Consider the following 14,924-nt stretch of genomic DNA (forward strand, 5'->3'; position numbering starts at 1 on the left):
GGCAGACTATAAATATTATAAATTAGATTAATGGAAATATTTTATTGTGCTTTATTAACTATGCATATTGCAAGTACTTAGTTAAATGGCCAAAACTTCTATCATCCAGACAATTCCCAATGGTTCCTCAATACTGATCATCACCCAGTGATCCCATTCCATGAGGTGCTGCACTTAATTACTTCTTGCATCACCAGTTAATATGGGATACTGCTGTTTGTACAATGAATAATTTCAAGAAAAATGAAATTTCAAAATTTCAAAGGTCTCAAGGATATAGTCAAATTTACTTCTTTTCCAGTGAAGAAAACGAAAAAAACCGTAGTCAACTTTTCCAGACTCTCAAAACCAGTTACTAAGACTAGGTATCACTGTACTGATTCCCAGTCCTAAGTCTCTCCTACATTAACACACTCTTCACAAAGTCCCAGATAAAGGAACCCATTGTACGTACAAATTTCATAGCAAAAAGCTATTCGAAAGATATGCCCAGGTCCTAACCTCTGGTACCTATCAACGTGACATTACTCAGAAATAGGGTCTTTGCAGAAGTAATTAAGTTATAAATTTCAGACAAGATCGCCCTGAATTTAAGAGTGGGCCCTAAATCCAATGACCAGTATCCTTACAAAATGTAAAGAGAGGGAGATTTGAACACAAAAGGAAAGCCACGTGAAGATGAAGGCAGAGACTGTGGTTACAAAGCTACAAGCCAAGGAATGCTAAGGACTGTTAGCCACCACCAAAAGCTAGGAGAGAATCATGAAAGACTATTGCCACTTAGAGCCTCCAGTTGGAACTAACCTGCCAACATACTGTTTTTGAACTTCTGACCTTCAGAATTGTGAGAGAATGAATTTGTCAATTTTAAGCCACTAAAAAAAAAAAAAAAAAAAAAGAAACAGTACTTGACGATTTGCTATACTGTTAAATGTATGAAACCCTTTGCTTAACAACAAAAAACTAACTTGACACAGAACTCAGGAAAGGCAGAATCAGGCACTGGAGATAAAAACTACAGTCCATTTTCCTTTATGTAAGAGTCAAGTTTTACTAACTTTCTTAGTAGTAATGAAATATTTATCCAGGCTAAGGAATGAGTCACAATAGTAAAATTTTAAGTTTGAAGTTTCAATGATGAATTAATAAAAGTGCCACAGGATAGCCAAACTCCACACTTTACTGGGTGCCTTACTATCTACAGTGTTTTCCAACTGTTTTAGGGCAGAGATGCTCTTAAAAATTTATTAGCATCACCTTGGAACTAGTAAGAACTACAAAACTTGAGTCTCATCTCAGATCTACTTAATCAGAAATTTTGAAGGTGAGGCATAGCAATCTGCTCTAACAAGTTTTCAAGTGATTCTGATGATTGCTAAAGTTTAAGAAACACTAGTCTAAATTAATCAAATTAAACAAGAAGCAGATTACCTAAAGATGTCTAAAGTAGCAAAAACATCCTTGGAGTAAGTAACAGTTCAGCTTTTCAACTGTGACTGCTTAATAAAATATACCAAAAACCCCATGTACTGAACAGTATCAACCTAGCTTAAGTATTTTTTTGCAACAGGCACATGTAGATGGCGTAGTATAACTACAAGCCAACTGCCAACTATGATCTCAGCAAGATGACGACACCTAACACATCACTAATTCTGATTTGAACAAACCATGGTAAAACATTACATCCTGCAAATATATTACTTATTTATATTTTTGTATTTATATATATGTATATATATTTTATGAAACATTCCAAAAAATTACAAACTAAGCCTAAGAAAGGCAAAAAATCATTTTTATAAAATGAAAACCAGAAATCCCTACCTCAAAGCTTATGATCCCTCCCCAGTAAAATTCCAGCTTGGTTAAATGTTTAAAACAAAAACAAAATAGTAAAATACATGGATTAAATTATTTAAACCAACACTGGGCAGGGTATGATGCAAAACCTGGACATCATAAAAGTGGTTAATTCAATACGTGTACAAAATTCAAGTCTCTATGTAGCATGAAGTGTCATAAAGCAAAGAAATGTATGACAAACTGAGCAAAAATTGCAACTTATATCCAAGGTGCTAATTCTGTTATAAGCTCCTACAAATCTATAAGAAAAAGGCCAATCCACTATAGAAATATGGGCAAAGCATATGATGAAACATCTAATTCTATCAATTTTATAATACCGCATATTTGGTCAAATTTAAATTCTCTGAAACTAAGATGCATTTTAAAATAGCACCTTAAAAACAGCTATCAACTAGGTAGAAATCCTGAGAAGATGAAAAAAGCACCAGTCTCAGATTCCAAAAAGAAATACAAATGGCTAATATACAAAAATGTTCAATTTCACAGAAAATAAATGCAAATTAAAACCATAAAGTAATCCCATTTTTCACTTAACAAGATTGACAAAGATAAAAAGTTTTATAATGCTGAGTTGGCAAGGGTAAAGAAACAGATGCTCATTTACTGATTCCTTACTGGTGAGAGTATATAAAAATCTCTATGGAGGGCAATCTGCCAAAAGCTGATAAAATTCAAGTATACTCTATGACCCGAACAATTTCACTTGTAGGGAATTTATTTCACAGATGTGTATGCGTGAAAAAAATGTGTGTACAAGTTTGTAAGAGGATACGGAGGACAGCAAATGTTTCTAATAGCAAAAACTGCAAATGAGGTTCCATCAATAGAATTTGTTAAGTAAACTAAGGTACAATCACAAATGCTATGCAGCCATTAAAAATAAAGCAACTTAAAACCACAATGAGATACCATCTTATACCAGTCAGCATGGCTACTAAAAAGTCAAAAAATAACAAGGTTGTAGAGAAAAGGGAATGCTTATCCACTGCTGGTGGGATTGTATTAGTTCAGCCATTGTGGAAAGCAGTTTGGCAACTTCTCAAAGATTTATAATAGAATTACCAGTTGACCCAGCAATCCCATTATTGGGTATACAGAATATAAACCCTTCTACCATAATGACACAGGCCTGTGTATATTCACTGCAGTACTATCCACAATAGCAAAGACATAGAATCAACTTAAATGTCCATTAAAAGTAGAATTCATTTTTAAAAGTAGCACATATACACAATGGAATACTATGCAGCCATAAAAAAGAGATCATGTTCTTGTGACAACATATATGAAGCTAAAGGCCATCATCCTAAGCAAACTAACACAAGAACAGAAAACCAAATACCTCATGTTCTCAGTTGGGAGCTCAACTTTGAGTAAATATGCACACAAAGAAAGGAACAACAAACCAGAGGATGGAGGGTGGGAAGAGAAAGAGAATCAGAAAAACTACCTGTCAGGTAACTATGCTTATTACCCGAGTAACAAAGTAATCTGTACACCAGCCCGTAATCCCAGCACTTTGGGAGGCCGAAGCAGGTCAATCACTTGAGGTCAAAGTTCAAGACCAGCCTGGCCAACATGTGGAAATCCCATCTCTACCAAAAAATACAAAAATTCACCAGGCGTGGTGGCGTGCACCTGTAGCCCCAGCTACTTGGGAGGCTGAGGCAAGAGAATCGAATCGCTTGAACCCAGGAGGCACAGGCTGCAGCGAGCTGAGATTGGGTCACTGCACTCCAGCCTGGAAGAGTGAGACACTGTCTCAAAAAAAAAAAAAAAAAAAAAAAATCTGTACACCAAACTCCTACAACATGCAATTTACCTATACAGCAAACCTGCACATATACCCTTGAACCTAAAAGTTAAAAAAGCATAAATAAAGCAACCTGAAAAAGGCATCTATTATAAATGAATGGCACTGTTTAATCTGAGTAATTAGATTTACTGTTCTCCATATTACCTAGGAAAGCTTTACAATACACTCAGAGAATTACATGGAGCGATGAGGAACAATGATGAAGGAAATAAAACACAGAGGTTAAGAATACATACTTGCTGCAAGACAAAACTGGGTTTAAGTCCCTGTTTTCCTATTATTGTCTGATCTTGGACAATTTCTTCCGTAATGGTCCCCTTGTAAAAATGTGAACAGGGTAAAAATTGTTTAAAATAAAACAATGTACATATATAAAGTCCTCAGTACACTAACTGCCTGGCACTTGGGAAATATTCAATAAACGGTTCTATACCACACTCTTAACTAGCCTCCATGTAACTCATAAATCCTTGGGATAGCCATACACTTTATAAAACATAGTGTAATATACACATAATCCTGTCTCCATCAGTTGGGTCAAGAGAATTACAGTTGACATGAAATGATAAACCCCAAGCATAGAAAAGAGTCATATATATGAACACCAAGTCATATGTTTCAGAAGTTTAGAACAAGATGAATCTTTCACACACACAGAACTATCAAATCTGTGAGACAATTCTGAAAGATTTAAAAGAGCCTAGAAACCAAGCATTCCAAAAGATTGAACTGTCTTAAATTCCAGAAAAACAACTTGTGTATTTTCTAAATGTTTGAGTTTAAATTCCAGCTTTAGAATTAAATGGAATTCCAAACAAATGAACCCATACTCAACAAAATGGTGTTGATTAATGTTAACAATAAATGAACCTATAGGTCTTATATTTAAATGTCCAGGTATAATTTTTCTATTTACAACTGATCTTTCAGGTTTATCTTTATATACATATAAAGAAATATATATAATCTATATATAAGAAATACATATATATGTATGTATATATTTTAAAGAGACAAGGCCTTGCTATGTTGCCCAGGCTGGAAGGCAGTGGCTACTCACAGATACAATCCCACCACTGATCAGCTTTGACCTGCTCATTTTCCAACCTGGGCCGGTTCACACCTCCTGGGGCAACCTGATAGTCCCCCGCTCTCCAAGGAGTTACCATATGGATGCCAAACTAGCACACTACATCCCGGAACTCTTGGACTCATGCAATCCTCCTTCCTCAGCCTCCCAAAGTATTGGGATTACAGGCATAAGCCACTGCACCTGGACTTGTTTACAACCTTAATGTCCATGCAGCCAAAAGAAGATTAAACTACTTTTTTTGGGTATAAACAGATCACTCAAATGGTAGAGTAAGTTGTTGATTCCATCTGTAAATGCATTAAATGATCACCTAGAATATGTATGTTCTCATTTTAATGATTTAAAACATAATTTTTTTACTATTTTCCATGTTCAACATGTAGGACATCCCAGGAACTACAAGTTTAAGGTAGCTGAGAGTTTCAAAAGTAGACCGTAAATCCTTTTGATGTCGTATTTGTGGAAGCTAGACTTTTGATAGTTGCTGTTTCAAAAAGTATGAGGCAAGGCTGGGCACGGTGGCTCACGCCTGTAATCCCAGCACTTTGGGAGGCCGAGGTGGGTGGATCACGAGGTCAGGAGATCAAGACCATCCTGGCTAACACAGTGAAACCCGTTTCTACTAAAAATACAAAAAAAAATTAGCCGGGCGTGGTGGTGGGCAGCTGTAGTCCCAGCTACTTGGGAGGCTGAGGCAGGAGAATGGTGTGAACCTGGGAGGCGGAGCTTGCAGTGAGCCAAGACTGCACCACTGCACTCCAGCCTAGGGAACAGAGCAAGACTCCGTCTCAAAAAAAAAAAAAAAAAAAAGCATGAGGCAAACATCAGTATAGAACAGGAAATAAAAGAGGTAGTGTTCAATCTGTTATCAAGGTTTGAGAAACTGTGAGTGATCAAATAGCATTAACACACTTAATAAATAATGGTGGTTATTTATGAATGAAATAATTTTTCTTTCAACGTATGTGTAGTATTTTTTAAAAGAAACATAAATACTTAGGTTATTAGGACCCAACTACTTAGTAAATGGAATTCTGAAATATTTCTTTAGGTCTGGGGTACTACGAAGAAATTATTGAGATATTACGTGTGCTGTCAATTAAGACAGTGTGAGAACTTCAACCTTAATAGAAACCAGCTCATCTACCTATAGTATCAGGAAAGGATTGATACTATTTGCTACTGGCTAGTCCATCTGCCTATCAAAGTCTCTCCGTCCTTCTCAACTCAGATGAAATACCTCCTCCTCTGTGAAATCTCTATACATTCAAATCACCTTTTATTGGCTTGACAGTTTTCCCCTCCCCAACCAAGTCAGTGAAGAGCCAGTGATATTAGCCGAGTCCTTACATAATGTTTCTTTTATTGGTGAAGGAATAAACAAAGACAGGCTCTAGTTCAACCTGGTATGTTCTTAGCAACCATATTACACAACATGAGCAACACTAACTTACTGTAATCACAATAGCACTACATATAGCAAAATACTGGTTACAATGACAACAAACTACTAGATGTAAATGCTCACAAGGAAAGGGAACATATTTTGAATAATTTAGAATCTACAGTGTTTCAATGTTCAATACATCAAACAGGGCAAAAAGGAAACATCAAACCCTGGACTCTTAAAGAGAGCTGAAATGTTTAAGACCACAATCAAACCATACAGCTTTGTTAGTGTAAACAGCTAAAATACATTTGGTATGTATTTCAGAGTTAGATACCTAATCACGAAAAAATGCCTAAGTTAACAATAGAAAATAAAGACAACTAAAAATATATTGCCTATTCCTCAAATTTTCACAAGTTTTAAAGGGAATATTCTTTCATCCTCAACAGAACTCACAGAAAGCTAGAATGAATGTGTAGGGTGTAGGTTCTACTTAATATTTTTTAAGATATTGGCACTGTATAAACAAAGAGAGCCTTCTCTATCTAATCCTCACAAATACTTAAGTACAAAGGTCAAATTTAACAAAACATGTAGAGCCTCAGCAAACCAAGTTAGCTTTCTAGGAATTAGCAAAAGCCAATAGAATTCTACTTCTAGGGTGACCACAGTAACTTTTTAGTCCTCTGGCAGAAACTGCCTCAGTGTTAAATAACCACATTTATCCTTTATTCCCACCTCTTTTTAAGAGTCCAATAAAATTACCCTTACCTAACTTATGTGCTACACATGAACTAGAACCAAGACTGCCACATAACAGATGTTCAATAAATTAGTTTATAATTGTTTGTATAATTAATGGTCCTTAAAGTGCCACATCTGTTTCACCTTTACCTCCAGCCCTAAAAGAATACTTGAATTGATTCATTCCGGTGACAAGTCACGTCAAGGTTTAAGTTTACATCCCCAATTGTAATTCAATTATTGTGCCAAAAGGAACTTTATTAAATTGGTTTTATTGAGTCCCTCTCTAACTGGGTTAACTGGTTAAAAAGATCCAATAATTTCTCCAACTGGATATCTACCATCATCACCAACAGCAGCAAGAATCAGCAATGCTGACTGATGCACCCCTAAACAGAGTGCCATAAATGACGAAGAGTTGTACACAGACAACTATACCTGATCTCAGAACAACCCTATCAGGTAGTTAGTACCAGCTCCATCTTTTGAAAAAGAAACAAGCACATGAGGGCTACTTAACACATAGTTAATGTCACAGCTAATACGTGGGCAGAGCTAGGACAACTCAGACACTGACCCTAGAGGCTATGCTCTAGGATCTATTTCCTTTTGATTCTCTTCACAAACCACCATTTTTTTTTTTTTTTAAGAGAGATGGAGTCTTGCTCTGTCACCCAGGCTGGAGCGCAGTGACACAATCCTAGCTCACCTCAGTCTCAAACTCTTGGGTCCAAGTGATCCACTCACCTCATCCAAGTAGCTGGGACTACAGGTACATACCACCACACCTGGCTCATTTTTTTAATATATAAATCTTTTTGGAGAGCCAGGGTCTCACTATGTTACCCACCCTGGACTCAAGTGATCCTCCTGCCTCAGCCTCCCAAAGTGTTGGGACTACATGTGTGAGCCTCTGCTCCTGGCCTCAAGGTATTTTTAAACGAAGTTGTCTTGTTGGAAACCCACTCTGGAATCTGCATAAGTAGTCTTTATACAGTTGGTGCTTCAGTCAGCTGTTTCCAGAGGCACCAAAGAATCCGCTATGGCAATGCCCTGTAATTCCCTATCCCATAACCCCTGTTCTGGCTAACCACTACTTTAAATTCAACCCTTGACTTAAATTCCAACTTCCTGGCCGGGAGCAGTGGCTCACGCCTGTAATCCCAGCACTTTGGGAGGCTGAGGTGGGTGGATCACTTGACGTCAGGAGTTTGAGACCAGCCTGGCCAACACGGTGAAACTCTGTCTCTACTAAAAATACAAAAAGTAGCTGGGCATGGTGGCACACGCCTGTAATCTCAGCTACTCGGGAGGGTGAGGCATGAGAATCGCTTGAACCCGGCGGGTGGAGGTTGCAGTGAGCCGAGATGGCACCACTGCACTCCAGCCTGAGTGACAGATGAGATGAGACTCTATCTCAAAAATAAATAAATAAATCCAACATCTTCCCACCTAAACTTATTCTCAAATCATTCTTTCATATAAACACCCATATTCTACTTCAGAAGGTTAATCACAATGTCAAACTTTTTATTTACATTTTTATTTGCTTTAACAAGAACAGGGACTAGATTCACTTTTCATTATACCTAGTACTGCCCAACACATAGAAGGTACTTAACTATTAGCTGACTGAATGACTAATCATTATGTGTACAAATTATTAGATTCCTTCAACACAAAAATCTCTAATTTTACAGCTTACGAAAAAATAAAAAGGAAGCATATCACCTAAAATAACAGTAAAATTACCTACCAAATTAACAACTTCAATTATTACGTTTTTCTACGCTTACAAGATTATCAAATTGTTTTCTTCCCTAAAAAATTATCAGCTCCTTCAAAAAACTGAAGGTGATTTCCTGAATTAAAATATGTTACAACCAGGCTGGGCGTGGTGGCGGCTGCCTGTAATCCCAGCACTTTGGGAGGCAGAGGCGGGCGGATCACAAGGTCAGGAGTTTGAGACCAGCCTGGCCAATGTGGTGAAACCCCGTCTCTACTAAAAATACAAAAATTAGCTGGGCGTGGTGGCGGGGGCCTGTAATCTCAGCTACTTGGGAGGCTGAGGCAGGAGAATGGCTTGAACCCGCGAGGTGGAGGCTGCAGTGAGCCGAGATCGTGCCACTGCACTCCAGCCTGGGCGACAGAGCAAGACTCCGTCTCCAAAAAAAAAAAAAAAAAGTTACAACCACAGACAAATGCTTCTTAAAATCCACTGCAAAAGGGCTACACCAGAAGCCAACAACCTCTCCTTCCTTACATCAAAATGAATCAAGGTATTTTACACTGACTAGTCACAAATACAGCAATATATTGTTCCCTGACTGGTAAGCTCTTTAGGTATCTCTTTGGGTTTTTTCTTCATAATTTCCACTCCAAGAAAACAGGAAAGTAAGTATGTTGCAAAAAGAATGCTTCAGAAGAAAAGGATGGGGACAAGCAAACACATAAAAAAGGAAATATAAAAACCATTTAGGAGTGGCAGCTTTGTAAACTTACTTGTTCACTGGGATGGGGTAGCCATTTAAGGCTAGACTAACAGAGTGTGCACTAAGTTATACCAGATCCAATCTTCCGAAAAGAGCACAGTGTCAGATCTATAACCTAAAATTTATGAATAGGTATCCCAAACACTGAAGAAACTATCTTATAGACCCTTAATCTATATGCGGACAATTTAAAGATACTTTATTTAGCTAAAATGCTCTCAAACTATGGTTAAATTCTGTGCTCCTCAAACATAATCTGCCTAAGTTAGCCTCTTTACCACCCTAGAGTGAAAATTAAAGTTCGCCCTGGCTACACAATGGATATATAAGCATTTTATATCTATATATGATAAGAGCTACATTTAATGAAGCATTCCCATTAGTTAAGTTCTTCCTATCAAATAGCAAAGTTACATTTGAAATTTTTAAATTTTAAGCTAACTTATTGTAATAATACACTCCTTTACTTATATTACTTAAAGGCAACACCAGGTTAGCTCCTAGAAGAAACCCCAATAAGCTTACCCTGTCTTAAGTAAGCTTTTACAAGTAGTTATAACCTCTAGAAAATGCTCCATTAAAAAAATCACAATGCCAAAAATACTTCATTTGAACTATAAAATCTGTTACTTGTCATTCCCTATGAAGTGAACCAAAATCTTTCAGAGGTACTCATCTTTTGAAAGCCTATCCTCCACCCACTTCCTACTACACATACACACAGCACCAATATTGCATAACTTTCTTGTATCCCAATTTCCAAATTCTGTTCTCAACTGTGGCTTACCAAAAAAATTCAATGCAATGTGAATCAAGTCAGAATAATGATATTCCTCCTAAAGATGAGTAAAATCTCCCCCTTATTATCCTCAAGTCCTTGACATTACCTGCATTTTAAAGTAATACAACATAATGAGCTATGATTTTGCTTATGCAATTATTGTCAATTATACTGTAATTACCAGTGATCAATAACGTATCACTGAACAACTACAAGAATTTATTCAGTGAAGATTAAGGTTTAAGCCAAAAATATGTCCCATAAAGTCATAAGGATAAGCTTATTTAAATATTTTAAAGTTCAACTGCTATTAAATATCACGCTGAATAAAAAGTTCTAATAAAATGAGATAAATCAAAGAATTAGAAAAAACTGACACAAATGTTGAATGAAAACTGGATATTTTGATCCAATAAATTGTTTTAAGTTATGATAGCTCTATTTTAAGAAACTATCTCAGAGATACACACTGAAATATTTATATATATAATTATTTGGTATCTAAGACTGCTTCGAAATAACATGGGACAGGGAAATAAATTAAGATTGGATATGAAATAAATAAGACTGAAATAGTTAAAAGTCGATGATAAACACATGCAGTTCATTATTCTATTCAATTTCTGCGGCTGGGTGTAGTGGCTCACGCCTGTAATCCCAGCACTGTGGGAGGCTGAGGCGGGCGGATCATGAGGTCAGGAGTTAGAGACCAGCCTGGCCAACATAGTGAAACCACAACTCTACTAAAGATACAAAAAGTTAGCCAGGCATGGTGGCGCACACCTATAGTCCCAGCTACCTGAGAGGCTGAGGCAGGAGAATCGCTTGAACCCGGGAGGCGGAGGTTGCAGAGAGCCGAGATGGCGCCACTGCACTCCAGCCTGGGCAACAGAGTGAGACTCCATCTCAAAAAAAAAAAAAAAAAAAAAAAAGAGAGACTCTTGTTTCATTTATCCCATTAACACTATATATCTCTCTGACAACAAAGACTCTGACAACAAAGACTCATATCACTGCCTACACAACGCTCCAAAATGGTTTTTAAAAACCTCAGGGAGAAGATCACATAGATATGATTTTTCTTTTTTTTTAAAAGAAATGTGGTCTTGCTATGTTGCTCAGGTTCAAATGCAGTAGCTATCACAGGCATGATCAGAGCACACTGTAGCCTTGAACTCCTGGCCTCAAGCAATAATCCTGCTTCAGCCTACGAAGTGGCTGGGAATAAACAGGCATATGCCACTGAGCCCCACTCAAACAAGTCACATTTAAAAGGACTTAAATATCACATAAATACAGAATAAGCAGAAGCAACCAGAGGGAAGACTTGAGAAAGAATCATCATCAGGTAGCATACATCATAACTTATGCAGAATGCAAGTATAAGACAATAAAAAGTTGGTAGAGTTAAAACATTAGAAAGCTCAATACAGTAGTCAATTATCTGCACCATAGCTATAGAGGAACAAGGACCTAGAGGCAGCTCTAACAGTGTATTACAGAACAAAAGATTCCTCTTTTTAGCTTATAACAGATGCACGGTAATAGCTGCATAATTAACATTAAAAGTCCCCTCTCCCCTAAATAAATCACATCCCATCCTATACATTCTTCTTTCTAAAAGTAGTTATCTTTTACTAAGTAAGACATATCACTTTCCTTTTCTTTCACAATTAAGTCATACACCATTGTGTCTACTAAAACCACACATTTTACAGTATCAGTAACATTTCACCTAAAATGCAGAACCAAGTAACTAAAATCTGACCTTTGAACTTCAATTTCTACCAAGTAACTATAGATTACCAATAATATATAATTAAACTAAGGTCATGTGGTAAGTCTAAGAAGGCCTACTTTGGATAATTCTAAATTTGGATGACATAAGCCTGCACTAGCAAAGTCTTCTATCTAATAGCAGAAAATGGCAAGCAGAGGACTAAAAGCGTCATTAAAGATATAGTACTTACTTAAGAATGGTTTTTGCACTACTGCAGTCTTCAAATCGAATGGAGTAACCAACTTCCTGGCCCAACATCACATCCATCTCATCAGCAACTCTCTGAGCCACACTCATTGCAGCCACTCTCCTGGGTTGGGTACAGGCAACTCCTCTCTTGGGTCCTGGTAATGATCGCATGTACTCCACACACCACTGTGGAATCTATCAAATAATTTCACATTTAAATTAATTCTATTCTGCCTGCATATCAAGTATATGTAACATAAAGCACTTTATCTCATTCTAATGATTTAAAACCAAATCCAATTAGGCAAATGACTATAAGACTTGTGATTCAAAACTTGTAACAACACAAGCTCTCTAAACCAAGGAACAGTTATGTGTAATACTGATATGACACACACCCAAGTTGGGTAGACACAATCAGGAATACACTCGACAGTGTGACTATCCCATCATGAAGTATTTCTCTATGCAATTTTAAAAAATCCAACTTACAACAAATTCTACTTTATAACAAACGTTTCTAAGAAAGTGTAACTTTTAAATTCTTACATAATTTGAGTTGCAAAATCAAGTGGAAATCATACCCCCTTGTAACTCTGAAGCTGTACTTTTATTTAATTCAATTCAAATTTGGTTTATAAGCCAGCAGAACCTAACTCTTAGCACCCAACTCTTTTGTAATCCTATCCTTTCCCCCTCAGGAGCAGTATGCACAATGGTAGCACCTTAGGTACCATCTTAAAATCAATTTTAAGAACTGCCAGTCTCAAATTTAACAGGACCTAGAGCAGCACCACTTCGTTAAGGGCAGCCAAAGGGTTGGGGGACCCCCAAGCACAAGTTAAATTGGTTGCCATGACGGCAGTACATTTTCCCCCAGTTCCATTATCAATATAAGCTAATGGATTCCCCAATTTTACAGTTTTCCAGTCACTTAACTGGAAAAGAACCATGGGAAAAATGTAAGTGCTCACCATATTATATGGAAATCCACTGCTAGAAGAGCATAACTGGTTTACATCAAAGCTTCCAAACGCCTATCAAACTCTAATGCTACAGGAAACATGGAGTTTTCTGCACAGTATCAGTACAGTAAAACTGATAAGGAATATTGGTGGCTGCACTATTATTACATTTTAGTTAGGTTGCTTCTGCAATTGGGGGTAACTTGTCACTAACAAATATCTGAAAGGGAGGGTAATTATGCTGATTCTCTAAAATCATATATATCTTTAAAACACTTTAAATGAACAAAAATAACTAAAGAAGTAGTATCTATCGGGTTCTGTAAATCCACAGACCTAGGTTTAAGTGGTTTTCTAGTCAGGCTATAAAGCCTTACTTACTGATATATCCTCAATTCGGCAACCCTTTTACAAAGGCAAAATGTACTTTCAAAGATCTAGAAAGTGAAATTCACTCACTGGTGAACCAAAGATATTTAAAATTAATTCAAAATTCTCAAGGCAAGAATGTTCAGATCTTTTGTTTTTTTGTTTGTTTTTTGAGATGGAATCTCACTCTGTTGACCAGGCTGGAGTGCAGTGGCATAATCTTGGCTCACTGTAACCACCAAGGTTCAAGCGATTCTCCTACTTCAGCCTCCCAAGTAGCTGGGACTACAGGCACGTGCCACCACGCCTGGCTAATTTTTTGTATTTTTAGTAGAGACAGGGTTTCACCACGTTGGGCAAGCTGGTGTCGAACTCCTGACCTCAGGTGATGCACCCGCCTCAGCCTTCCAAAGTGCTGGGATTATAGGCGTGAGCCACCATGCCTGGCCAAGAATGTTCAGATTTTTTAATTCACTCCGCTAAAATCAACAGCTTACCTCCACTTTAAAAACAAGACCAACAAGTCAATTAGCAGCTCTCAGGACCCCTGTGCACTCACTCTGAAAATGACCGAGGATGCCAAGCTACTAATAAATTTACTGTTAAGAAATTAAAACTGAAAAATTGCTAAAATATTAATTCCTAACAATAAAACTCATTCTGTTTTAACACAAAATAACGCTTTCTATAAAAATGACTACTTTTCAAACAAAAAAACTTAGCTAGAAGAGTGCGTTTCCTTGTATTTTTACAAATTCTAGGATCCCTGAAATGGTTTCAAGGACTTTCAAGAACTCCCAGGCAATAGCTGGAGAACCAGTCAGTTAATGCATCTGTTCACATTTCTAAGGAAAACAGCATTAGGAAAAGAAAGAGGTCCTGAAATATGTAGGCTACTGGTGTATTCAAGCCAGGGATCCGGCTTTTTTGTTTTTTTCTTTTAAGACGGAGTTTCACTCTGTTGCCCAGGCTGGAGTGCAGGGGCGCAATCTAGGCTTACTGCAACCTCCACCTCCAGGGTTCAAGTGATTCTCCTGCCTCAGCCTCCCAAGTAGCTGGGATTACAGGTGTGCGCCACCACGCCCAGCTGATTTCTGTATTTTTAGTAGAGATGGGGTTTCACCATATTGGCCAGGCTGGTCTCAAACCCCTGACCTCAGGTAATCTGCCCGCCTCAGCATCCCAAAGTGCCAGGATTACAGGCATGGGCCACTGTACCCAGCCAGGTCTAAGTTATTCTAAAGCCATTCCTCCTTTTCAGCTCTTTGCTTCCTCCACTTGAGGGCATCTTAAAACTGATCCTCGGTGTTCTAGTCTTCTTGTTTTACATAATATCCTGTGAAGTCTTATATGTTCTAACTTCTAATACTACCTATAATACATCAATGCCAATCCTAACTCCAGCTTTCATCTTAGAGCTAACGGTCATTTCCACC

General features: G+C 37.5%; 1 protein-coding gene and 1 pseudogene across 3 annotated transcripts in view; both read right to left on the reverse strand.

The window, feature by feature from the left end:
* DHX15 (DEAH-box helicase 15) overlaps window positions 1-14,924 on the reverse strand; it is a 57,080-nt gene that overhangs the window by 31,024 nt on the left and 11,132 nt on the right. For all 3 annotated transcript variants that reach the window (NM_001358.3, XM_047449698.1, XM_047449699.1), the window contains exon 3: window positions 12,156-12,349. In NM_001358.3, coding sequence (NP_001349.2) covers window positions 12,156-12,349 — 194 coding nt within the window. The remainder of the gene's footprint in view (window positions 1-12,155; window positions 12,350-14,924) is intronic.
* RN7SL16P (RNA, 7SL, cytoplasmic 16, pseudogene) lies at window positions 4,695-4,963 on the reverse strand (annotated as a pseudogene).

The sequence above is a fragment of the Homo sapiens genome, chromosome 4 (genome assembly GCF_000001405.40).
Source record: "Homo sapiens chromosome 4, GRCh38.p14 Primary Assembly".
Taxonomy (NCBI): Eukaryota; Metazoa; Chordata; class Mammalia; order Primates; family Hominidae; genus Homo; species Homo sapiens.